The sequence below is a fragment of the Homo sapiens genome, chromosome 13, assembly GCF_000001405.40.
Source record: "Homo sapiens chromosome 13, GRCh38.p14 Primary Assembly".
In the NCBI taxonomy this organism is placed as follows: Eukaryota; Metazoa; Chordata; class Mammalia; order Primates; family Hominidae; genus Homo; species Homo sapiens.
In genome coordinates this window covers 35,638,909-35,666,732 of record NC_000013.11, presented here as the reverse complement: position 1 = coordinate 35,666,732, position 27,824 = coordinate 35,638,909, and the positions used below count along the sequence as shown (strand labels likewise).

The 27,824-nt window shown below is 37.4% G+C and overlaps 1 protein-coding gene across 14 annotated transcripts in view; it reads right to left on the bottom strand.

The window, feature by feature from the left end:
• NBEA (neurobeachin) overlaps positions 1-27,824 on the bottom strand; it is a 730,467-nt gene that overhangs the window by 6,004 nt on the left and 696,639 nt on the right. For 6 of the 14 annotated variants that reach the window (XM_047430271.1, NM_001385012.1, XM_017020544.2 and 3 more), the window contains 7 exons: positions 20,802-20,864; positions 20,385-20,474; positions 16,886-17,078; positions 14,857-14,928; positions 11,723-11,878; positions 10,984-11,154; positions 1,547-1,648 (listed from right to left, as the gene is read on the bottom strand). In XM_047430271.1, coding sequence (XP_047286227.1) covers positions 1,547-1,648; positions 10,984-11,154; positions 11,723-11,878; positions 14,857-14,928; positions 16,886-17,078; positions 20,385-20,474; positions 20,802-20,864 — 847 coding nt within the window. The remainder of the gene's footprint in view (positions 1-1,546; positions 1,649-10,983; positions 11,155-11,722; positions 11,879-14,856; positions 14,929-16,885; positions 17,079-20,384; positions 20,475-20,801; positions 20,865-27,824) is intronic. The other 8 variants (NM_015678.5, XM_017020545.2, XM_006719806.4 and 5 more) reach the window with 3 other exon arrangements.

Below are 27,824 nucleotides of genomic sequence, written 5' to 3'. Positions count from 1 at the left end.
TAAAGTAAAAAATTCACTGATCAATTCATAAAAATTGGTCACTATAGTTTGGTGTTATATATCTATTCCCTTGTCCCAAAAAGATTTCCACAAAACAATGTATGAATTACGTGTTTATTTTTAATTGAGCTGAATAGACACATATTTTACAAAGCAAGTGACATGATTAAATTTTGTCCTGATTACTAAAGTAATAGACTTGCCCTATAGAAAATTAGGAAAACACCAGCAATCATCTCTAATATCACACAGCCCCTGCAGGAAATGTCTCTTTCTTGGCGCCTACTATGTGTCACTTATTTTCCTTTTTTTTTTTTTTTTTAACTTCACAGGGTAAAATGATATTACACATATTATTACTTTTTAAAATTAAAAGACTGAAAATATCCTATGTGTCCATTTCTGGGTTATTTATTCTTAGATACCAAAATTTTAAAAACATGGTGCCAGCCTTCAGACTCTATCCATTCTCCGTAGAAAGGCTGAAATGAGCTCTAACAACCAAACCTATCTATCTCATCACCTCGATTAAAAAACTTCAATAGTTTCCTACTATACTCATTTAAAAAAAAATTGCAAATGCTTGTGCCCCAGGCCCCTCCCATCCCTTCAGCCTTCTCATTCCTCCAGGTTGTGGCACCACGGTGATACTCCAGCAGCACCCAGGGCTCCTTTCAGTTTCTCCAAGCATCAGGCTCCTTTCTGCCTGGGAGTCTTCCCACAGAGAACTGCTATTTGAGCCAGAACTAGGACCTAAGTTTCCTGACTTCCTGAAATGAAAGATCTTCTACAAAAACTCCAAAGAGGCTGGGTGTGGTGGCTCACGCCTGTAATCCCAGCAATTTGGGAGGCTGAGGTGGGTGGATCACCTGAGGTCAGGAGTTAAAGACCAGCCTGGCCAACATGGTGAAACCCCATCTCTACTGAAAATACAAAAAATTAGCCAGGCTTGGTTGCGGGCGCCTGTAATCCCAGCTACTAGGGAGGGTGAGGCAGGAGAATCACCTGAACCCAGGAGGCGGAAGTTGCAGGGAGCCTGGATTGCACCATTGCACCCCAGCCTGCGTGACAAGAGTGAAGGTATGCCTCAAAAACAAAACAAAACCTCCAAAGAACCAAGTAATCTTTGTTTCCTTTCCACCAACCTCTACACAGCCCCTGGCCTTATAAAGAAAGGGACTTGAAGAGGGAGGGGATCCTAGGCCGTGTCTGATGAGTGACATGACCCCCCACCTCCCCCACTACATCAGGGATACTTTCCCCTTGTCTTTTACATGTCCTTTACAATGGCTGCATCATAAGAATACACTGTAATTTATCAGTGTTCTGCTTAGAACACTGTTGACCACAAAATACTACATAAAATTTTATACATATTTTATATTAGTGCCAGTAAATATTAATCATAAAACTAAACATCTACAAATAACTTTGGGATACCATTTGTCTATGGGAAGCTTCCTGGAAGAAATAAACTGACAATCACGCTTAGTGTGAGAAAACAGTCATCTTCTAGACATTGAAAATGAAAGAAATGACTTCTGACCTTTAGCACCACTGATAACAAGCCCAAGTTCTGCACAGACAGAAACACAGACAACTTCATGGTCATGGCCTGTGAGGACGGCTCTTGGTGCCGGATAGTCACCTGCAAGAAAACAGCAGCAGTGAGGCACTACAGACCAATAGCAGGGGGAGAGAGCTACACCAGCAATGCAATATTCAAAAAATACCCATGTTTATTAAGGGCATTATTATTAAGCTGTGTGACCATGAGCCAGTTACTTAACCTCTCTGCTCTCCTCTTTTGTGAAATGCGCATAACTAGCGAATCTATTATACATGCTGTTTAGATGACAGGACAAGTTAACGTATGTAACATGCTTAGAACGTAACGAGAGTGGTAATGGCTATTCTTTTTCTTCCATTATTGTTATGAAACAGGTACAATGCCTGCTAAGGCATTTATCTGTGTTACATCATGTATTTATGGTCATGCTCTATGAGGTAGGAACTCTTACTATCCCTAGTCTATAGCCTAGACACCCAAGGCTTTGCAAGGTGATTCAACTTGCCCAAGTTCATACAGCTAAGGGTTGGAATTGAACCTACTTCACTTTATTAGTGCGAACCTAGCTAAAAAGTCCAGCTGAATTATATCCCAGAAGCATTTTCACTGCTAACTGCTTTCATAAATTGAAGGACTTAGAGAATGTTATGCCTTTTGTAAAAAGTTCTATATTTTTCTCTTCTTTTATCAGAAAGAAATGAGCTTATTCTGCATCACCCATATAGGTTGTTCTGTTTGCGGTCTTTCTTTTCTAGCACTTGTGTTCTTTGCATGCTTGCCTGTTTTCCTTTGTGAATTCCTATTTTTGGTGGGGTAACCACCCCCGATCCCCTATCTTGTCTCTCAGAGAACCACTCTGTACTTTGGTCTTGGTGCCCCTCTTTCCTAGAGCTGCCTCCTAGGTTGAACTACTGGCCCTCACTGGGGTTGGGGGAAGTTAAATGTTCCAGGGCTGGCAGATGCACCTCCCCCTGAATAGCCCCTTCTTTGGCACTTATGGGACCTCTGGGTGCTGGCTAGCTGGACTGCTGCTCCAGTTCTCTGCCCACAGTGGCAAGAGGGAAGCCACAGAGAGTTCATGAGGAAAGTGCATAATCACAAGGCCTTACCCAGTAAGACGACCCACATCTTCCACTCTGGTCGGCCAAGAGCCCCTTCCTTAAGACCTGCCTATCTTCTCTTAAGACCTGCCTATCTTCTGTCTCCCCAAGGATTTCTCCGTTTTATTTGCATTTTCTCAGACCCATCAGCTCCAATTTTGTTTTTGAGGCATCTCTTAGATGGAGTGTGGGAGAAGGGGGACAGCAGCTCATGCTAGTTTGCCATCTTCTTCTGAATACATGGATATTGCTATAATGTGTTTTGACTATTGGTAGAGTGTCCATTTATAATGTCAGCAGTCCTGGATTTGTCTGAAACATATTTATATAATTTATAAAATTATGTTTCACACTGCAGGAAAAAGGTGAAAAAGAAAAAAAAATTGTTTCAAAGATGCCCTGGGCTTCCTGGTAAAATAAGCTTTAAGCATTGATAAGAGTTTTCCAAACAAAGGAAATCAGCAAATCAGAGATATCTGCACCCCTGTGTTGACTGCAGCACTATTCACAATAGCTCAGATATAGAATCAACCTAAGTGTCCAACAAATAATGAAAAGATAAAGAAAATGAGATATATTTACATAATTGAATATTATTCTGCTATAAAAAAAAAGAAATCCTGTCATTTGCAACAACATAGATGGAACTGAAGGACATGAGGTTAAGTGAAATTAGCCAGGCACAGAAAGACAACTGTCCCATCTTCTTACTCATATGTGGGAGCTGAAGAAATTGATCTCACAGAGGAAATAAACAGAATAGTGGTTACCAGAGGCTGGCAAGGGTGGTGGGAAGGTGTTGGTTAATGGGTAGAACAATACAGTTAGATAGATAAAGTTAGGCAGAAGGAATAAAATCTAGTGTTTGGTAGCAAAATAGGGTGACTACGGCTAATAATTTATTGTACATTTCAAAATAACTAGAAGAGAAGATTTAGAATGTTCCTAATGCAAAGAAGTGATGAATGTCTGAGGTGTTGGATATCCTAATTACCCCAATTTGATCATTACACATTGTATCCTTGTATAACATATCCCATCAATATGTACAACTATTATGTATCCATAAAAATTAAATCTCTAAAAAAGTATTTGTAAGATTTTATGTGTAATATCAGGTTTAATTTTTCTAAATGATAATTTTATCTTGGAGAGACTAGCACACTGGAAAACCCTGAAATTATACACTTAATTCATTTATATAAAATGAATAGTTTTGGGACCTTTCCCTAATATGCTATAGAAAAAATAAAAAGCAATCTGATCCTATTGCAGGGAATTGAGAAAAAAAATGTATAAAAATATTCCTTATGCATGTTATACATTTTCTGCTAGGAAATGAGTTTTTCAAAGGCTCATGTCTGATTTAGAGAGTTTAAAATATTTTATTTTTTTCATTACGATTTCCCCAGATCATCTGAATAAACTGTGGAACTTAACTATTAGGGGGTATTTTTTAGGGCCCCTGAAAGCACTGTTTCCTTCTTTAAGTGAAAGGCAAATAAAATGCCATTCCAGGCTTTCTGAGTTGGGAAACCTGCAGCGGCGGGAAAGCTTGTTTCCTATATTTCATTTCGTTGCTAGGGACAGATGTCACACACCCCAACAATCATTCAAAATCCTAGGAATATTCTGTCACTGTCACATCACAGTTGATGGATGTAGCCCAGGGTTAAAGGGCCCAGTGCAGAGGGAGGTGCAGGTGGACCGCCCCTCTGAGGGCCACCGCCGTTGCCCTCAGGCCCACCACTGCCTCCACAGAAGCACTCACCGTGTGCTGGAATGACTAGAACTGATGAAGAACAAACACGTCCAATTTTTAGATTCCTTATAGACATGCATTTGGAAACTCCGAATATTAAAAGGCTTAAAATAAACAAATTCCATCCTCCTTTTATCAAAGGTCATTTCAATATTCTCAAAATGGATGATAAAAAAATATACTAGTATTAGATGCTGCTTATTCACATAGACAGGAGAGGTTTTTTAGTGAGATGGTCTCTGGCTTTTAGAGAAATGGCCAAAGTAAAGAACTCATGGTTCTTATTTTAAACCTCATTTGTGGGACACTGATATGCAGGGGAAGCTGTGGTCTTTCTGATTTAGAACTAAACAAAGCCAGTGGAGTTTCTAAGACCTCCGCTGCACAGTGAGAGGATGAACCTCCTGATAAAATCTGATTCAGATTTTATTTCTGACCCTGGGGAAGTCACTGCAGAATCATGGCAGAAGATATTTTTATTCATGTTTATACTTAGATAAAATATGATGGAGTTTTGAAAGTTAAAATCCCAGAATAAGGGATTTAGTCAAAGGGTATGGTAGTTTCATTACTACTATGATTTCAAGATTTATTTCAACATATTATGTTAGAAATTTGCTGGAATAGCTGAGAAGAGCGGTATCGGTCAGGAGTCCCTTATCAAGACCCCAACTCCTCAGCCACAGGCAGGTGCTGTGGAGGTCTGTTCCAAGTATCAAATACACTTGGACCCGCATTTCCCAAGGTCCCAAGATAATGCAAGTAAAAACATTCTGTGGGTTGGAAAATGTCAAATTCACCCATGATGTGGTTTCATTTCCTTATGTACTCATAGAGTATTCAGTGAAGAATGGAAGACAGATACGGTGAAATTATTTATTCATTCATTCTAACTTCTTTTTCCTCTTCAGAGATAACAATGACTACATTTTCCTCTGAGCACTGCCACTGCAGGACAACCTCTTCTCTTGAAGTCCTGAGCCCAGATCTAGGTCACAGTACATTACTGTCCTACGCTCACCTAAAAACAACTAATAGTATCATCCACCTCCCCTTCCTCAGGAAGCTGGGCTCTGCGTAAAGCCCAGACACCCCCTGGTTGGAACCTGAAGCTCTCTGATCAGAACACATTAGTCACTCTGTATATATTGCTTCCAATCTAGGCCAAAGACCTTTCTTGAAGCCTTAGTCCCATAAAAGGAAAGGAAAAGCCGAGGCCGAGTAGCAAGCAGCTCCCTTCTCAGTCTGGAACCCTGGAAAGTCTACTGGTGTTAGAATGAGGGGATGGGGTGGATGAGTGGTCTACTGCAGAATGGACTCTGTGCCATCGATGTTCCAATACATCCATTACCATTTGGTCCTCAAAAAGCCCTGCAAGGTGAGAACTATTGCATATGGAGCTACACTTCCTCTGATCTTACAAAGATGGTTTAACATATGCTAAATCCTAGCTAAGATTCTTTGCTCCGAGAAGTGATACAAACTTGTTTAATGTATCTAAATCTAAATATACTCTACAAATCTCTCTGGGCTATCCATCGGCCATGCTTTCATTTCTTATAATAGCACTGGTTAGTGGCAGTTGTGGAGCTGGGCACCAGGATAGTCTTTTTAAAAGAAGCCTGGATGCCAACAAAGAGAGGGATGTGATTTGGCAGATGTTTGGTGACAGGTTGTGGCTGGCAGGAGGGTCAGCGTCCAGAGCTGAGGCATACACAATGGGAGCCCAGAGAAGGTGTGTGTGCACAGCTGGAGTCTCCTTTGCAATTGGCTTCTCCTTTGACAGTCTGCATAATGCCCGTACACGAGCTAAAATACTTATTTTTAAAAAGTGGAATAGAAAAGCATAATAACAATGTGTTATACAAACTACCCAATGAATATTTGTAGATTTGAGTTGAAAAGATGAACGGTAAATCCTCTTTCAAAGTTTCACATGGCTATGATTTAAAAATTTTTGTATGTATGTATATCAAACTCTCTATAAAGCACCTTGTATGTGGTATAAACATTAAAACTACATTCTTTAAAAGCAGATTGGCTTTTGAGCTGAAGTCCCAATGTATTTTGAGTGTCTGTTGAAGAGACAACAATGTTAACTTGCCTCTATTGTGACTATCTTGTTGGAAGCTACAGCACGTAATGAGAAATGTCAAGTCCTAAGATCAATGAAATTTTGGACTCTAGGGATTCCAAAGGAATACCATTGATCCTTTTAAAGAACACCAGTCAGAGATGGGTTGTAATATATTGCAAAGAGAGGCTCAAGAGGATAAGCGGCCAAGTCCAAGATACCTACCTGACAAAAAATTCAATCAGCTTTTAGCACAAATTGCCTGCTCTGCTCTGCTCTCTTTCATGCAGTAGGCTGCTTCCAATTAAAGTGCGCAAATTAATTTTTATCACTTCCAAATTAGTTTCAGAATTTGTGTAAAAGTCTGTTTCGGATGAAAGCATCTGTCCTTCACATCTTTGCAATTCTGTTATCTAGTTAGGGACCTATTTAAAGTCTCCAAGATAATTTATACGTTCAAAGCCGCGAGTTTGAAAGAATAACAATGAATAATATTATAAAATACATTAATAAAGCAATGATAATTCAACTCTAACCTGCACTAGGTAGACTTTGCTTATCTCTTTTATGGTCTGAGACTCTATATCTGATAGTCTGCTTACAAATATTCATTATCTTTGTGACCAATTCATCACAATGGTCAAAATGATTAGAAAAAGACTAATATTTCTGAGATGTCTGCATTCTTCACAATATATTTGACACAATAAAACCATACATACTTTCTATACCTGCCAAAAAGATTTCACAAACATGACATTTTTTCTTCGTGGAATTAATAGAGCTATCTATTACAATATAATAATGACAATGCAAGAGAAACAAATATGTTAAAGTCAGTTGAATTTTATCTTGAGAAGATTTTAGTGATATGCATGTAAAGGTTAAATGATAAATCCTATCATTTCATGATGTTGTGATGAACAGGTGTGATTTGGCCTCGGTGACACACAAAGCAGTTCCATGTCCACACCAAGGCCAATCCCTTCATTATAACAGCTACTAGGATATTATGTTACATGCCAGGACTTCCCACGTCAAGGATAGGTTAATACATACAACCTCCAAAACCTAAGGGCATTGTGTCACACACTTTAATACAAATTTAGACATAACTAGCTTTCTGGTCTTGAGTATCAATGTATTATGAGATAGAAAACACATATGGCCTGCTTCTCTGACCTGTGAATTGGAAGCTAGAGTAGATTAAACTGGAACAGAAGAAAATCTCTTTCACATTGTGAGTTTTCTGATGGCAACAACTATGTCTATGTCAAACCACAGGCAGGGCACTGATATGGCAGTCAATTCAGTGTGTGCTGTGACTGCCTGAAAAAAGAGTGAAGAGACCGACACAGATGGTTGCCCTAGTCAGGCATATATATGCTACTAGGTTAGCTTTTTAAATAGATAAGTGGGTCACAAATCAGTCAGTCAATCAATACTAAACCTGAGATCACTTTTTTACTACTGTGATCATCCTTATGGAAAAAAGCTAAAACCAGTTTTTTTCATAATCATCAATTTGATGTAAAGTTAAGCATTTTACGAATCCTTAAAGTATGGTACAAAATATTATCGGATAACAATTCATGATTCATTTAACAAATACTTGACATCCTCAGTATATCCAAGCAGGAGAAACAGTTTGTGATCAGTATAAAAGTAGATTCTTGTAAACTCTAGAAAGTCAGAGGTTGTGACTTTGCAGCATTCCCAGCTGCTGGGATAGTACCAGGCTCACAGTAGGCACACAGTAGGCACCCAACACATACTGTTGCTTGACTAATACTTTAGGTGCTTATCTTGTTTATTCTAGAAGAGCACTTTTCCCTTTTATTAATGTACCATACTACGTATGTTCACATTAAATATCTAATAAAGTCTTGACAGGATGGATTCTATGGAAGTGGTTTAGGTTCATAATGATGACAACAGCTTTTCACTAAAAATAAATTCCTATAGATGGAGGTAATACTGAAAAATACATATTGATAATTTTGTCATAATATCTTTAAGATAATCTTGTCCTTACTTAAAACTAAAATATGACACTGCTTTTTAACAAATATAATATCCATATTTTTGTTCTTAAGAATTAAAAAAGCATTTTGTATTTACACAGCTCCTGTTGTAAGGAGCTTTAAATAATTTAAATATTATTGTATTTAACTTTTCTTGCTAACTGATGTACCAAAGCTACAATTGATAGTTAGCCATCTTTTGGTTTAAGAGATCATTAGAAAACACAGTAGTGAACATAGATAATTACTATAATTTAATATTTTTCTTTAATATTCTTTACCTCCTAGCAGTATATTATATAAAACATCTTATCTCAGCTACCAGATGGCAGCTTTTAAGAAATAAATCCCCTTTTTGGAAATAACACTTGCATCATTTCTGGGCTTCATTTTGAAGACGGTAATTAATTAGATTTAAAGCTCTATTCTGTTTCTTTTAAATTTTTTCTAACAAGTTCTAATTTTTATCAATGTATATGAAAGATACTACACAGACCTGCTGCTTAATTAAACTTTTTAAAGAAATGCTACACTATTATGGAAATAAAGACAATTTGGAAATATGTGAACATATATTTAGATAAAATATACTTGATAATGTACCATTCTTGAGAATAATAAAGCCATCGCTGGTAGGTCATATGTCTTATACACATGTACACATACGCATACATAGGCATACTAGAATTCTGTTAAAAATGAATTGTTTACGGACATGGCTTTACAAAAGAGTAAATAGGGAGATTATCTTACTGGTATTTAGAGCATAATGTTTGTTAATAACAGAATTGGTAACTAATTATTTGAACTGGTTGGAAATCAAGCAACATTGAATATCTTTTCCCTCAAATAAAGATCACATCTTGTTCAAATTTAGAACAGAGACTCGTATGTACAATAGACACTCTCTTGTTCAGTAGCTATGCCAAGAGGCATATGCTATTTTACAACACACCTAGTTTCTTCATCCACTGTTCAACTCTAGCTATGGGCAACAGGAATAAAACTTCACATAACATTTGGACATCTAATCCAATCTTCCACTATCTTCTCATACAAATGTATTTCTCCATTCTCTCCTGTACTATGATGGGGCCTTTGTTCTTATCCATCCAAAGCCATTTCCTATTTTTGCGGTATTCCTGTCAAAATGCATAAGGGTTGGGGGGATGGAGTGGGACATGAAGGGTGGATGTGCAATTCAGTTTCCACCCCTAGCTGTCTCACAGGTTGGAACTAACCAGAGAGGCAGCAGCCAGCCACGCAATGTAACATGGCATCTTGTAGATTTCTTATCTACTCTTATAGTATTTTAGTTGTAGATGCACAGGTTTCCTGAAAAATTTTTATCTCTGTTGGGTTATAAGTATTCCCCAAATTCATGTTTCAGTTTATTTTGGAGTGCTGTGTAAGCTGTGACAATTTGAATAATCCTGGTTTGAGTACTTGCCATTATCACTTCACAGAAACCTTTCTATATTATACAGGAAAGTCATGCATTTGAGTGAACTATTGAAAGCTTAGTAATTAAAAGCAGTAATTATTTCTAGCCAATCTCTTATCCAGCTCTTCAGTCATTTAATTTATTGGAAACCTATTATGTATATTACTATGACAGGAACTGAAGATGGAAAGACAGACACTCATTATCTACTTTAGTGTTTTCTTGGGGCAGCAGTCCAACAACTAATAACTAACTTCTCTTACATAAATAAAAGTTTCATTGGAAAAAGAAGTTTGAGAGGCTGCGGATTAAACAAGCATCAACAAATTTATTTGTGTAAGACTTTCAGAGCTTATGTAGAAAGTTTGAGTATAAACACTGTACTCCAAAATTATTTCACGAAGGAGTCCAGCCTCTCCCAACGCTTTCTTCCTATGGGATATCTTAGGGTGCACTGTGGAATAACTATCACTTGAGGAATCCTCCCAAGCAAGGAAACTGTCTTATTCAGTTTTTGCATCTCCCACAATGCCTCATGTGAAGGGGGTACTCACTCACTGTTTGCTAAACGAATAAATGGAGAAATTTACTACAGTATATATGGTAGATAGCAGTTAGTGCCCTGAATGAGACACAGGCAAAATCTTCTAAAAATTCAGAGCAGGGAGAGATTATTTTCAGCTGAAAGAAATAATATGAGGTTTAATGGATAAGGTGAAGCTGAAGAAAATTTCTGAAGGATGGGGACATTTGGTGACTGGGCTGCTGAGCAGAGGGTCTGGGTAGGGGACTGGTGAGGGGATCTGGAAGTCTCTCCATGTTGTAGGTGATAGTACTGATCATTTTAACACTTTGAACATAGCTACGTTCCAGTACAGATTTTGGCCACTTAAGCTTTCATATTTTAAAATCCTTACACCTCAGGAAAAAACTATTAGGAAAATCAAAAAGGCAAAATATATTTAAATAAACTATAGTTTGATAGGACAAATTTGATACAAACACTCACTGCTGTTAGGGTTGTCTCCTATGATATGGTGCCGCCCACTCCAGTACCAGAGCAGCAGGGTGGCATCTCGAGATCCGGACACGATGTAGCAGTCCCCACCAATGTATGACTCGGACCTGGCCAAGCAAGTGACCACATCCCAATGGCCAAATACAATCTGAGTCAATTTCCCTGCAACACAGAAATGACAGGTTTGCTTCATTTAGTCTTTTTCTTCAAATGGTAATAAGTGTAACTTTATCAGATTTTTTAAAAAATTTTACCATATTTTTAATTTTATTTTACCAGTTTTGTGAAAAGTTCATCTATGGGCTGACAAAGTTACAATGTTATTCAAATCTGGCTACAGGTTGCTTTCTTGCATTGCTTTTGGAAACTGATACAAGAATGTCACTTGAGATTTTTAAAGAAAAGACTTTATAAAATAACACAATCACGATTTTTCTCTTCAGGGTTTGGGCCAGACCAAGGGGAGTTTTAGGATCTTTTACTGCATATGAATTTGTGGGAAAGGAACAATAGCCCCATTTGTCCTATGAATTCTGGGATCATGCTAACGTTCGGAATACATGAAGTTATAGTTAGTTACTTTGCTTACAATGTGAACATTTAATTTGAATCTTGACTACTCAAGTTGGCAAATGATAAAAATGCCTACATTAAGTATGATTTCATATTCAGCTTTGGTTTTAACAATAGTCATTTTGAAGAGAATATGGTGTTTCATAGTTAGGATTACCTGTTTCTGTAGAATAAACTCTGAAGCTCTTATCCCAGAATCCACAGATAAGAATATAGCGATTATCTGCTGTTACCACAAAACAATGTGCATTGATTTGTATACTCTGGTCAACGAGGTCTGTGATCTGCCGTTTGTTTACACCTGAATTATTGGCTAAAAGTAAATGGAAAAAAGCATTTGAAGAAAGATTCCATATGAGTTTTGCCAAGCACTCAAAGAAGGAAAACAATACTTTCATGCTTCATTTATCCAGAAATAGTTTTTTTAATGGTATGAGATTATTAAGATTCTCCCTTGAGGAATATAAATTTCCTTCGCAGTAATTATTTATGAACCACATTATGTATTTTAAAATTATGCCAGAAATTTTAGTTCTCCCTCCACCAATAAAAACAATATGAGGAATTCAAGACAATTAATTTAAAACATAATACAATATTTTAATGCATTTAATTCTTTAGATGTTCACTATATACAAGTTCATTAGTTTATAAGAATCACATGAAAACTAAATATTGTATGAAGTATGTTATTAAGGAAGAGATATATTAATATTTGCCCCAAGTCTGTCATTTTCAGATGGTATTTATAATTCCTGTGAAAAAGGAGGGTAGAGATTTGAGCAAGGGATGTTGTTACGTGGGCAGCCCCACAGGGAGCTTCAGGTCAGCAGCTTTACAGGCCTGGATTGTCAACAGACAGAAGGCCTTTCCAGAAAGGGCTAGCAGGGGAGGAGAGGAACAAAAAAGATGAGAGAGGGACTGGGGAGGAAAGAGACAGGCAAAGAATCAGTGCAGAGCCCTGGGATTGAATCTGAATAAAGTCAGGAACTCAGAGACACCATCTGATTTCCCCAGTGCCTGTCTGCATGCCAGCCTGTCCCTTACTGCGCACCATCCTTTCAGGATAAATCACTGGGCTGAATTCTTAAACAGAAATGCAGATGTAGAAGGTCACCACCACTCTCTAACACCAGTTAAATATTAAGTACTACTATCTGTAGATATCTACTAACAGTATAAAAATAATTACTAAGAAACATAAGCAATAAAAATATTATACACAAAAGTCAGTAAGGACAAGAAGACCAAGGGTCCCAGGCCACTTGAAAACTATACAGTTGGTCCTTTACTAATTAGAATAGACCTATTAATTTTTCCATGGTTACACACTAGCTGTATATTTCATTGTCAATGTCTACTGGAAAGAGAAATAGCTAGACTAGACTAATAATATTCTTAATCCTAAAGCTTATAAGCTCCCAAAGACATGTAAATGGTATTTTGTGTATGGGTATAAGTAACTAATTGAAACGTCTGTATCTTATCTTATTTCCAGGTTCAAAGACGAAGGATGAATTTGAATCTAAGAATAAGAGGCTGCGCGTGGTGGCTCACGTCTGTAATCCCAGGACTCTGGGAGGGCCAGGCAGGCAGATCACTTAAGGTCAGGAGTTCGAGACCAGCCTGGCCAACACGGTGAAACCCTGTCTCTACTAAAAATACAAAAATTAGACAGGCGTGGTGGTGCACGCCTGTAATCCCAGCTACTCAGGAGGCTGAGGTGGGGGAATTGGTTTAACCTGGGAGGCGGAGGTTGCAGTGGTCTGAGATTGCATCACTGCACTCCAGCCTGGGTGACATAATGAGACTCCATCTCAAAAAAAAAAAAAAAAAAAAGAACCCAAGAATAAAACACCTTGACTTTAATATGTAGCTTAATAATTTTTCGTAGCATTTTCAATTTTTTTCTAATTTATCTTACTAATCATCCAGTGATACAGATAGAACAAACATTATTAAAAACTGTCTTACATATATGAAACCGGAAGGGCCTCGAAAGACTAAGATGCTAGCTCTGGATCCAATGGCTAATAAATATGTACACGATTATTTAAAAATATTTTGAATGTCTGCTGCAAAGAGTTATAGCTCATCAGTTTGCAATTCATATGAAACATTTGCTTTACAACATGTCAGTTTAAAAAAATTCAGTGATAAAGACTGCCAGAGGTGGCCGGGCGCGGTGGCTCACGCCTGTAATCCCAGCACTTTGGGAGGCAGAGATGGGCAGATCACGAGGTCAGGAGATCGAGACCATCCTGGCTAACACGGTGAAACCCTGACTCCACTAAAAATACCAAAAATTAGCCGGGCGCGGTGGCGGGCGCCTGTAATCCCAGCTACTCGGGAGGCTGAGGCAGGAGAATGGCGTGAACCCGGGAGGCGGAGGTTGCAGTGAGCCGAGATCGCGCCACTGTACTCCAGCCTGGGCGACAGAGCGAGACTCCGCCTCAAAAAAAAAAAAAAAAAAAAAAAAGACTGCCAGAAAAGATGTTCTTCAATATTAGCTTCCTTTTTTTTTTTTGAGATGGAGTCTCGCTCTGTCACCCAGGCTGGAGTGCAGTGGTGCCATCTTGGCTCACTGCAAGCTCCGCCTCCCAGGTTCACGCCATTCTCCTCCCTCAGCCTCCCGAGTAGCTGGGACTACAGGTGCCCGCCACCGCGCCTGGCTAATTTTTTTATATTTTTAGTAGAGACGGGGTTTCACCGTGTTAGCCAGGATGGTCTCGATCTCCTGACCTCGTGATCCGCCCGTCTTGGACTCCCAAAGTACTGGGATTACAGGAGTGAGCCACCATGCCCGGCCCTTTTTTTTTTTTTTTTTAAATTTAAGTTCTGGGGTACATGTGCACAATGTGCAGGTTTGTTACATAGGTATACATGTGCCATGTTGGTTTGCTGCACCCATCAACTTGTCATTTACATCAGGTATTTCTCCTAATGCTATTCCTCCCCCAGCCTTTAGTAATCTTTTTGAATCCTTATATTTTAAATAATACTGAGCTGTTAGAGAACACTTTAGGCTGAAAGAAAATACAGTTTGGAATTATTTGCCTTATTTATAACCAACTTAAATGACCTCCAAAAATATCAAGAAACGATTGCTTTAATACCAAAAAGTTCTTAGATGGCATATTATGATTTACACAGCTCCTTGATGATAATTTGATATTATTAGCATTTTAATCTTGTGGTAGAAAAAATATTGTTCAACTATCTTATGAAAAATAACTATATATGAATATATGGATAGTATCCATGAAAATTTATTCTTTTTTATTAACATACCTATTAATGGATCCATTTCAATGGGAAGATGGTGGGCTTGATCCAAGGAGTATCCTGGAGCTCCTCTGAGGCCTAAAGATTAAAAAAAGAGAGAAAAACTAACATAAAATTCTCAGAAAGAAGGGATTTCCTAATGGGTAGTGTTTTATGATGATTTTACAAAATGCATATTTGCTTAAAAATGATTTGATAAATTGTTCTGATACTATGTGTCTCTGTAGACAGCCTTACAAAATAATCACAACAGGGACTTCAGGTTTCCACTTACGATGTACAAGGCTGGGAAGAGTTTTGTTTCTGTTCTAATGATGAGAAAAAGCTGGATAAATAGAAGATTGTAACATTTATTGAACCCATCAAAAAGCTAAGGTCATGAGCAATCAATGAGCCTGAAATCAATGAAAGGGCTATGCTTCCAAGCAGGGATGGGTATGAGGCTGGGCTCACCTGGGGCAGGACACAGGAAGCAGAAATCAATGAAAGGGCTATGCTTCCAAGCAGGGATGGGTATGAGCCTGCGCTCACCTGGGGCAGGACACAGGAAGCTGGGGCTCCCATCCAATGGGGCCTTTTTTTCAACATGTGACAAGTAAATGGAAGGTATAAAAATTGGGCCACACCTAAAATCTTAATCTCACTAAAAGCTACTTTCAGAGGATTAATGTTTAGAGCTTGATGAAGTTCATTAGTCATAGTTTTTCACACGTGATTATACAATATATACAACACTTTCAAACAATTTTAAATAAAAATTTAGTCCTTTGTAGTTTTTCTCAATGCAAAACATTTCTAGAGGCTGTCTCCTGAGAATAATACAGTCATATATTTTCCTTAAGATATGTGCTGCCTATCTCTGATGGAATGGAAGTAGCGTTACCTTACGTTGATAATATCACCAATAACCTTAAAATAGGTGCACTTAGAAACTCTTAGGAGATAAAGCTAGGATATAAATCACTGTATTTTTTAGAGCAATGTAGAGGTCAGTAAAATAGAAAGATTCAGGTTACTTCGGCATGGCTCAGCTATTCAACTCTGGAGACGGGGAGTCCTCGGCTTCCTGGGAGATCCCAAGTGGTAAACTGGGCCAACTAAATCATTTGGTCACATCCACTCTGCCCTGGTTAAGCATCCATATGTCTAAATGTGTTTTGATTTGTTGGTTTGTTTATTTTGAGACAAAGTCTCACTTTGTCGTCCAGGCTGGAGTGCAGTGGCGCGATCTCAGCTCACTGCAACCTCTGCTGCCCGGGTTCAAGCGTTTCTCCTGCCTCAGCCTCCCGAGTAGCTGGGATTACAGGTGCCTGCCACTGTGCCTGGTTAATTTTTGTAGTTTTAGTAGAGACGGGGTTTCACCATCTTGGCCAGGCTGGTCTTGAACTCCTGCAATATGTCTAAATGTTTGCCACAACGTTATGTCGCTTCAAGATGTACTGGCTGGTACTTTCAGGAAAGAGTTTGGAGAAACACATGTGAAGTGTGAAATCACTGGAGAATTTAGATTTTGTCTTTTTGCAAAGATTCTAAGCTCTGCAAAAATAGAGTTGGTGCTTGTTTTGTTTATTGCTGTATATACAGTGCTTGGGACTACTTGACACATAATAGTCATTCAAATATTTGCTAAATAAATTACTGATATAGAGACAAGAGGATGTGAAGCCAGCATCCAGAAACCCATATTCAAACTCTCTTCTGTTTGATATAGGAAAAAAGAAGGGTGTATTTTTTTGCAGTTAGGCAATAGCAGAATAGAGTAGGAGAACCTGAATTATTGGTAGAACTGCTTCAATTTGTCAAATAGTTACTGAGTAGTTGACTATGATCCAAGCATCCTATGAGGCACTAACATACAGCAGAAATGAAGGAGACAGATAGAAGTCCCTTAGTTGGATTTGACAATTATTTATTTAGTCTGCTGTTTTTTGTAGATAATGTGGGATATGAGCTAATCCCAGTCCCAGTACACTTTTTTACTTTAATTGTAGCTTTTAAGAAATCTTTAGTAAGTGATTTGCTCAGGCACACATACCTACTGTGTTGTGCCATCTATTCACTGCAAAGAGTCGGCTGCAAGTCACTGTCACCACTGCGGGGATGGTCAAGTGGGGCAGAGTGTTGGCTGCCACATGGGTTACTGGAGAATTTGAAGGAAACTTCAGCACCATTATCACATCCTGTTGCATCTGATCTTTAAACATGAGCGGACTCTGTGGAAGGAAACACTGTTGAATAGAAAGGGAAGAGAACAGAGGAAGACAAAAGGAATAACATAGTTAGTGAAAGGTCTAGGGAGAATGAGGTTAAACAGACAAGGCTAGCACGAGCACACACAAGGAGGAAAAGCCACCTAAACTTTCATACTGGTGAATGTCTGCCCCAAATCGAGCAGCTTTGACTGGGGAATGGCACAGAGAGTAGAGAATAAGAATTCTGTGAAGGCACTGATACAGGGACACAGAATCATTAAAGACCAGCCTCAATTCAAATATCACCACAATGCAATGTGAAAAGTTAGCTCATAGACACACCCACATGACGTAACACAGTTATGCAATGCAGCTTAAAAATCAGTTTGGTGGGAAAGTTAGTCAAATTAGTGACTCCCATTTTTTACACGAAATATAAAGTGAATTGACTAATACTTTCATTTCTATCTGGTTGATCTGGGGTCATGACTACAGTCTAAATAATTAAAATACAGTAGCCCCATAAAGCAGCCGAGCGCTTCCCTGGCAGTTCTCCCCAGGTTCTGCTCTGGCACTGACTGTTTATGGTTGAAGCCTTGTTTCTCCCTTCTAGGCTGGGAGCTTATGGAGGGCCAATGCTTTTTCTTCTTCTTCTTCTTTTTTTTTAATTATTTTAAGTTCCAGGATACATGTGCAGGACACGCAGGTTGTTACATAGGTAAACGTGTGCCATGGTGGTTTGCTGCACAGATCAACCCATCACCTTGGTAGTAAGCCCTGCATACATTAGCTGTTCTTCCTGATGCTCCCCTCCCACCACCCCCACCCCCATGACAGGCCCCAGTGCGTGTTGTTCCCTGTCACGTGTCCATGTGTTTTCTTCTTTCTGTTTTTAGCGTCTGTTTTGTCAACATCTAGCATATGACTTGACAGAAAGTAGATACTGTAAGTCCTACAAAACACTACAAATACCACCATATTAAAAACATAAAGTAGGGAGGCTGGAAATAACCATTATTTAGCTTTCATACATGTTTCTTAATGGTTTGCAGTATATATGAATTCTCTGCTACATGAACTTAGAAAGCTTAGAGTTTCTTTATAAACAGTTTCATGCCAATTCAGTCTCTAACAACTTCCTCTAGGAAAGTAATGAATTCTGACTGGGCATATCTCCAGGATAAATATTTTTATTATTATTATTAAACACAGAAAACTAACACGGGAATAAAACTCTTCTGCCAAAGCATTTCATAAAATAAAGTGTTAGAGATATTCTTCTGGACAGTTTATTAAAAACGGTGAGGCTCCGAGGCCACATCTCTATGTCTACAATGTGGCTGAGGGGTTTATACGGCAACAGCCTGAGCTTGGTGCAAACCTTTCTGTTTAGTTACACAGAAAGACCAACTGCAGTCAAAAGAGTTCACTAGTGACTAACCAAGGAGGCTGAAGCTGTTTGGCTGAGCTGTTGAAGGAAGGTAAAAAAAAAAAAAAAAAAAAAAAAAAAGAGTTTAAACACACACCAGGCAGGCATGGTGGCTTATGCCTGTATTCCCAGCGCTTTGGGAGACTGAGGGTCCCCAGGAGTTCAAGACCAGCCTGGGAAACACAGCAAAACCCAATCTCTACAAAAAATTTTAAAAATTTAGCCAGGCATGGTGGCACACACCCGTAGTCCCAGCTACTAGGAAGACTGAGGAAGAAAGATCGTGTGAGCCTAGGAGTTTGAGGCTGCAGTGAGCCATGATCATGGCGCTATATTCTAGCCTGTGCAACAGAGTGAGACCCTATCTTAAAAAAAAATTTAAAAACAAATGCATTTAGGTCGGGCGTGGTGACTCACACCTGTAATCCCAGCACTTTGGGAGGCTGAGGCAGGCAGATCACGAGGTCAGGAGTTTGAGACTAGCCTGACCAACATGGTGAAACCCCATCTTTACTAAAAATACAAAAATTAGCCAGGGGTGGTGGCGCACACCTGTAATCCCGGCTACTCGGGAGGCTAAGGCAGGAGAATTGCTTGAACCAGGGAGGCGAAGGTTGCAGTGAGCTGAGATTGCGCCACTGCACTCCAGCCTGGGTGACAGTGAGATTCTGTCTCAAAACAACAACAACAAAAAGCATTTATGTGTTTCCCAAAAGTTCGACTACTGATTTCTTGAAAGTTTAGAGGACTTATTTGTCACTGTATCTCCAGTGCTTAGCATCAGATCTGACATACAGAAGGGGCTCAATAAAAATTCGTTAAATGACAGAGTAAATGAAAGGTGTGATTAATACTTCCATCACAAAATAACACCTTATACATTTGTTTACACATATATTATGGACCATATTCCAGAGCTCTTTACTCTAAAATTAGAGTACTTGTTGTCTTGAAGTTCATCTTGTGAACGCATTTTTACCTTCAAGAATTGTTTACTTCAGTAAAAAAATAGTGAAAAATCAGTTTTAAAAAAAATTCTAAAGAAATTGCTCATAAAAATTTTACCTTCTTCAAATTACTTAAAGAAGAAAATGTTTACTATTTGCTAATAAACTGTAAAGAAACTTTTTTATGGAAATGGACTTTTAAATTCAGATTAAAATGAAAAGAATATGACTCCCTTGCAAAGTGGGAATAAGAGGTTTAACCAGTAGCTAATTATGATGATGTCAGCTCACATTTATTAAGAACTTATTGTATGACAGGTGCTGGTCTAAGTGCTATACAGTATTGAATCATTCAATTCTCAGTAGTAGGTACTATTTTTACCTCTATTTTGAAGATGCTGAAATGCAAAAACAGAGAGGTTAAATACCTTGCCCAAGTCATTTACTAGCTAGTGCAGAGATGGTGTTTGCCCTGTCCGGCTCTGGGGCCCTTACTCTTAACCACTCTGTTCAACAACCTCTCTGTAATAACCACAAATTACCTTTATATTTCTTTCCTTTTATTCAAATGAACTACTTCCCCTACTGTATCTTGCCACGAAATTTGGCAATATCATATTGTGTCTGCAATACATTTTTCATTGTAATTTACAAATATAGTCTAATTCTGGTGTCAGTGTGTGTCTCTATGCCTGTGTGTGCATGAATGAGTTTATGTAGAGTCATACATAGAGAAGATGGCTATTTTTGTGAATCCAAAAGTGGGACAGCTTAAGTAGGACTTAAAGGTAGATTTACACTTCCTTCTCTGTCTCTCCCTGGGGTATTAGTTTGTACTTAGGCTGAAGAGTTAACCAATAAATCGAGAAGCCTTTTAAAATATGCTGTTAAAATCACAATTTTATTTGCTCTATTCCCAGGTAAAAAGGAAAGAAAAAAAAATCTCAACATGCTGATATGTCTTACCAGGTGCATGGCAGAGCTCCGAGGCGGATGTGGCTCAATAAGCAACTGAGATGGCGTCTGTCCAAAGTTCTGTATCTGTGCCTCCATGGCCTGCAGGGGAAGGAGGGTGATTGTCATAATCAATATGCATCAAAGAGAGAGGCCAACACACTCTTTGACAACGCAAGTGTATCCCAAGTCAGCCATGAAAAAAAGTCCAGAAAATTCAACGGGTGCTCTTTTCTCAGGGTGCAGAATCATCCAAGTGTTAGTATTTTGTAGACAAGCTTTGCTTCTCCTTCCAAACATGCTTCAGTTAACCCAGTCACTATTCTTATTCCCAGAAGCTGGGGTTAAATGTGGAAAATCTAACCTGTGAATACATGCATGCAGCTAAAGACCAAAGAACACTTTCCACACTAAATACAGAACATATACCTTAATAAAGTCCTTTGTAAGAAGGAAAGTGTGGGGGTCTCTAATGAAATAAGCTTCTGGAATCTTAATGGGGAAAAAAAAGAATGAGACATGAAGTCTACCAATTATACAAAATAAAATTCAGAAAGTTATAGGTTCCAATTAATTCAGAGGGTGATCAGCAGAAAGAACACCAAGATTTTATAGAATTATTAAATATAACAAAACTTTTGTTACAAAAATATATTTTAGCTTTCTATGCTATTTTAAGATGAATTCTGGAATATTATTTTTAAGGTATAAATTCATTTTCTCAAAAATTTTCCCTGAAATTTTAGAGAGAACTCACCCAAAAAAGAAATAAATCTTCCTGTATCCTAAGCTATACAATATTTCATTAAAGCCTGTGTAGCTGGAAATGAGATTTTATAGCCTCCAAGGAATAGAAATAATTTTAGCCCTCAAACTGTCTGGACTGTACAATATACCTTTCTTGTGTGTGTCAAAGAGATCATCTTAAAAGAAACTTAAGTATTTCCTCGATACATAAATTCTATAGGCAAAATATTTCCATATATTAAGCTAGACTAACAAAAATCTTTTTCTGAAATATTATATGTAATTTATGTCAACAAGGAGAAGCATGATATTTACTATGATCATTACTCTGCTACCATGCTAATTTTTTCCCTAAATTGTGTGCAATTTGGTTGCACGTAAAAGTGAAATAGGAAAATCATAGCTAGGTGCTTGTAGAAGCACAGGTGAGTTGGTAGATGGCTCTTGACATAGCACCACCACTAATCTCATCGCTATCTACAATTCTAATTTATAAAGTACTTAAATTTAAAAATCTGTCCTCCTACACTGTATTTCAAGAAAATGTTTATCAATAAAAATGCGAACCTGCAAATTTATTAGCAATATTAAATATGAATGCATCATTATCTGCCATATTTTAGCCATCGCGTAAATGGGACTTTGGTTCTTTTATCTGCAGAGGCAATGGGATGAATTATTAAATCTCTTTAAGTGCTGTCCAATTTTTATGTATACATTTATTTGCATGGTGTCTACTCACAAGTGTGACTATTTAACTAAATTTTATTCACATATGATGCATTTACATCCTACTTTTGTCTCCCCAGTGCAAGATTTATGATTATAAAAGGGGGAAGAGACCATTTCTGGTTAGGTTCACATTTTTAATAACTAACTCTTGAGAATTATTTGCAAAGAAAAGTGGTAATTTTATTGTTAACGCTGCCCTGGTTAGCAAGTGCTTAATACCTAGCTTCATGTATCATGAACAGCTAAACGTCTCTCTAACAACAGATACTACTACTCCTGTTTTTACTTCCCCAGAAAAAGGACACAAGTGGGGGCGAGGAGCCGGGGGTAAAATTAAACATGTTTTAATCTCTAGATCAGTGTCTTGCACTTAGTAGGGAGCCTTTAAATGTTTATTGAAGGAATTAGTCAACAAACATGCTTTGCTTGACTCTAGTTTTGTTTCTTAAAGGAAAGTATTAACATTGTACTAGAAAATGTTATGAAATGGATAAAATTTCTAGAAATCTTCTGTGCAGTTCTCTTCAGTGAGTCCCAACTCTGACCATTTTGGACTAAGGCAGAATACATATGCATATATATTTAAAAGAGTTCCCCAATCAGGCATCAGGATAAAGACGAGATTGTGACTAACTTTATCCTTTCATTAAGACAGTCAGTTCTCGACACTGAACGTTTATTTCTTTTGAGACTATACTGACTCCCTCTTCCTTGTGATCTACTTTACATGCCTTCATGACCCAAAGGATCTCAGTCCAATATTTACCTTTTAGCTATCTGGTAGTCCTGCCTTCCAGTAATTCCTTACCCTCTGATTTAAAAATGTACAGATCTTTCTGATCTTGAAAAGCATGCTGTCTCCTTTAAGTTCTACTTCTTGTCATTACTAAAACGTTTGAGGGGAGAGTGAGCACCTACTATCTTTCTTCACCTGCTCCCCATGTAAGATTTTCTGTCCTTTCCCACTTTAAGGGGGTCATCAATGACTTTCTTGTCAAGTGTGCAGGTCCTGTGAATGGGAGGGTTGCCTGGTGACACGCAGAACTCATTCTGCAACCCATGAATTGTTACAATGAAGTAGTTGTTCTGAGAGCTACTCCCTGTGTAGGAGAAAATCCTCCCCGAATGCTAACCTTGGGCAAGGATCTAAATCCTTCACCTCCTTGGGCAAGGATCTAAATCCTTCTAAATCATAATGAATGCCCTGCATATTCTCACAGCACATTTTTCTCCTTTACTATAGATTTTAACACACAATTATTTATGTATGTCTGTTTGTTCAGACTGAATCTCTGCAGGTCAGGATGGTGACTTAGTCTTAACAGAGATTCTAAAAATATTTGGTGAATACAGAAGCAGGGCATTTGTATAAAACTGAAACCTGGTCTAGAAAAAGAAAAGCACTTCAGAATTTTTTACTTTTACAATTCAATACCACAAAAACAATTAACAGACATTTGTTGAATGCTTACTCTATGCCAAGGGATACAAAGTCAGATACCAGGCTGACCTCAGGAAGTTAGCAGCCCCCAAAATAAAGACGATGAGTGTGTCAGTGCACATGGTAGGGAGCAGGACACAGGGGAGACAAGCCCAGGCTGCCCTGGGAGCCCAGACGAGTGACAGAGGGGAAGGGGAATAGGTTCTTAGGAAAGAGACTTTTGGAAAAAGGACAGAGCTCAGGTTTGAAGATTAAGTAAGAATTAGCTTGTCCACAGCATGAAAAGGTTTTCTACCATATAGAAATTTTCCCTTAAAAATTTCCAAATATATCAAGTTAAAAAAAAAAAGAAACTACTGGAACTGTGAGATGAATTCCTTCTATATTATCCAGAAATGTCATTAAAAAAATTCTACATGTATCTATTTCTCTATACATTGGTCTGCAAGGGTCAGTGAGATTTAACGTTAACTTTATTTATTCACAAAACATGTATTTGTTGAGTACCTACTACATACTAGATTCCATTCTAGATATTAATGATACTGGTAAAATGAAACAGATAAAGATTCCTGCCCTCAAAGAGCTTACATTCAGCCCAAAGTCACACACTGGCATCCCATGGGCTAGATTCAGCTCACAGACATGGTTTCTATTTGAGCCAAAATTTACAGGTCAGTAAATGGCATACAAGAAATTGGATTTTTTGGCTTCTCTTAAAAACTTCGCAGATCAGGCAATACCACATCAGCATTCCTGCACAACTGCCCTTTTGTAACGCCCACCACTCACATGACCTGGGCACTGCCACTGGCTTGTGTCACTCATCTATTCCCTGTCTGGTTCTTATATGCTTTGGGGCTTGTGAATCCTTTTAAAATATAATAATGAAAACTTTAATTTGTATTACAAGATATCAGTTGCTTTGTGTATCTGTTGTACTTTCCAGTAAACCCAAAATGAGTTAACATTGAACACGTGAGCTCATGAGCATGTATAATGTATATGGAAAGAGACTAAAACTTTGGAAATGTCCATCAATCCAACTTCATTAAATCTATGTTATCCATTATTAGAAGCTCCATTATTTTATATACTATTAATAAGTAAAATATGCTATCAATTAAAATATGCTATGATTGATTGATTGTAAGACACATTATGATTTTGGAGTATTGAGATATGAAAATGGTGTGCATCTTAGAATCAATAAATCATAGTGACTTTTTACTTAAACAGTGGTATCATGAGTCTTACATATTTCATACAAAGCCAGCATAGGTAATAGGCTTAAACCACTAGATTTTTTAAAACAAATGTGGCTAACAAAACGTTTGATGTTTCACAAATACAAAAGACCATGCAGCCATTGGTAGACAACACTTTGGTAGAATAACATGAAAATATAGATTTGCTTGTACTTAAATAATATTCTTTCTTAATGTTATTAAGAAATCACTGATTTTGGTATCCTGAAGTTAAGCTTATTATGTGCATTCACTTTTATTTATTTATTCAAATTACTCATTTTTTAAGGTTTAAGATAAAAGTGTATAAGGTACACTAATCTTAAGTGTACAGCTTGATGAATGTATATATGTATGTATATACATTTTTTCAGTTCTTCTAACCACCATCTACATTAAGACAGAGGACTTTGGAATGGAACTAGAAGGTTCCATATCTTGGTCTGGGTGGTGGGTACATGAGAGAATACATAGATACTGGTAACCTTGTGTGCCTCCCCAGCCAATTATTCCCCCTATCTAGCCCCATCACCCTGTCAAGCTAATAATTATTCTGATGTTTATCATCAATTATTTTTTATTCTTGAATTTTTGATAAATTGAGTTATACACTACATATTTCCTGTTTCTGCCTTTTTTGATCAACTTTATGTCTGCAAGATTCAACCTTGTTGTATGTATCGGTAGTTTGTTCATTTTTCTTTTGCTGTATAGTATTCCCCTGTATTAACCTAACACAATTTATCAATTCTGTTGATGGATATTTGGGTTGTTAACAGTTTCAGGTTACTGTGAATAAAGTTGCTTAGAAGATTCTTGTACATGTCTTTTGATGGAGGTTAGCAGCCAGTTTTTGGAGGGTCTATACCTAGATATGGGATTGGTGAGTCATAGGGTAGGAGTAAGTTTAGTTTTACTGCCAAAGTGTTTCTCCAAAATGGTTTTGTGTATTTATTTTCTGTAAGTATTTGTGAACCCAAAATGTAATGGTCGAAGCTGTAAATAAAGTAATGATTTACATTATGTAATCTTTTAGGGTACTGATAACTTATTAATAAAACTTGTATATATCAAAACTCAATTGTCTCATAAAATAATTATAATAATTATTTCTTTACCTGGAATTGTTAAAGTAGAAATGAAAATTAAGTTAAAGAGTGTTAAATTTTAATTGTTATATGGATTCTTACTGATTATAAAATTGTTTGCTGAATATTTATTGAACTGACATCATGCACTTAGCATTTATTTTTCTCTCCAGCTAAGACTCACCGAGAAATAGGTAGGTTGAACACCTTGAGGAAGTTCTAAAACATGGAATTTTGTAGGTATAGGCAGAGAAGTAAAGATAAATGTGAAGTGAGTTATGCACAAATGAACAAAATAAGAAAATCTGAACAGCATAAATGATTTTCAGGTTACAAACACATATATGACACATAACTCAGTTTTACCTGCTTATCTGTATATAGAGCTCCCATTAAGGAAAAGTTTCGATTAGGGACACTTTCTCTTTTGTCCCCTCCCTACTTCCTGATTATCCCATTCCTTAGTCTGATGAGGCTCTCCTTTATACAATTCTGCAGGACCCACCTACTAAGTTACGAAATTATGACATCTTCATGGGAGTCCCCTTTTTCCTTACTTAACAAGTTCTCTTGAGTCTTTCTTCTTTCTCATAGGTCAGGGCCACCGTGCATGGGTATGCTGTTTATGCCCTGTACAAAGATGCCCAGTTGGAAGGCAAATAAGTAATAGAATCTACCTGGAGAGCCAGAGAAAGGAGTGCCTTTTGTAATTCATCCATTTAGAGAAGGTGTCCTCTAAAGTGTGCACAAAGGGGCATGTGTGTTAGCTATGATGTGACACATGCCTTCTTTCTTTGACCTCCGTATCTCTTAATTGTTTTCTTTCCTTTTTGGCTTTCCTTCCAAGGAAGTTCTACCTCCTCTATGAATAAAGATACATACCTGGAATTGAATCCTCAGAAAAGGAAATCGATAAATATAATGTGTGCTTATGTGTTGCACATTTGCTTATTCATATAAAAGACTTCCTACTAAGGTAAAATTAAATGTGGCAACCAAGTAAGCCAGAATTCAGAAGCCATACCTTCTCTGGTGTGTGGTAGGCAAAAACTTTCGTTAATCTTGTCTTTTCCACATTGCAGGTAGATTTAACCCATTTACATTTTTCTCCATAGAATGATTACAACTGCTTTTTTTTTTTTTTTTTTTGGTAAATGTAATTCAGTATTATCTTTCAGATGAAATGCCGTCAGGTCTACAGAGCCATGACAAACAGCATGAAGGAGCTAATAATACAGGCTCTCAAATGACCTATTCATCCATCTCCCTGGTCTGTATAAACTTTTAAATTGTTTTTCAGAAAAATCAGCATTTTATAAAGTACTATAGGTTATGGTACCCACAATGCAAAATATCAAACTACGTCCAAATACCAGTAAATTCACTAACAATTTTCAGAAAATTCAAGAAAAAAGTAGTAAAAGTGGTTGCTTGAGAAAACAGAAAAAGATTTTCAAAGTTTCCTTAGCATTTTGTTTATCTCACTGTATAGCTCTTACTTACAAGGCTTTTAATACTTAAAAGTGCTCTTTTTTAAACCAAAAAATACAAGCTTGACACAAAATAAAAAAATACATGTGATTGATATCATCTTTCTGTTCCACCTGCAATTCTACCAATGCCAAATAGGAAAAAAATAAACAAAAACAATGGAATTTTAAGTCTGAAATGATAAAAGGAAAGGTTACTTAATGGCAGACTACATTTTAACTGATAAGCTTTTGCTTCTGGTTTATTGTTGTAATAAAACAAGATCATATAAAGCATTACTTTTTAATGCTGGAAAAACAGGAGCAAAATAAATCAAGCAAATAATATCTGCACTTTGTTGTTTCTTGCTTTATAAATATTAAACTATATAAAAAATTAAAATGCTATTTTATATTCAACTGCTTCTAGTTTTTCATAGAAACCACAAAATAGGAGAATAAATATTTTTCCTTTTGTTTTAACCTTCAACTGCATTAAGGCTAAAATTATCCTGGCAAAATTATTAGAATATTTAAGCAAATATTTGGTAATCCGAGTAAAAAGGGACCACAATTGCCTTAATTAGTAGATGCACTTAGACAATATTTGAGAGAGAGATTCTGATTTGTCCAGTTACCTGCCTTAATTCTTGGTTTCTTTCTTTTAGCGTAAATCTAAGTAGAATTAAGATGTGACTTATCCTCTTGCTGATCCCTGTTTCCTCCTT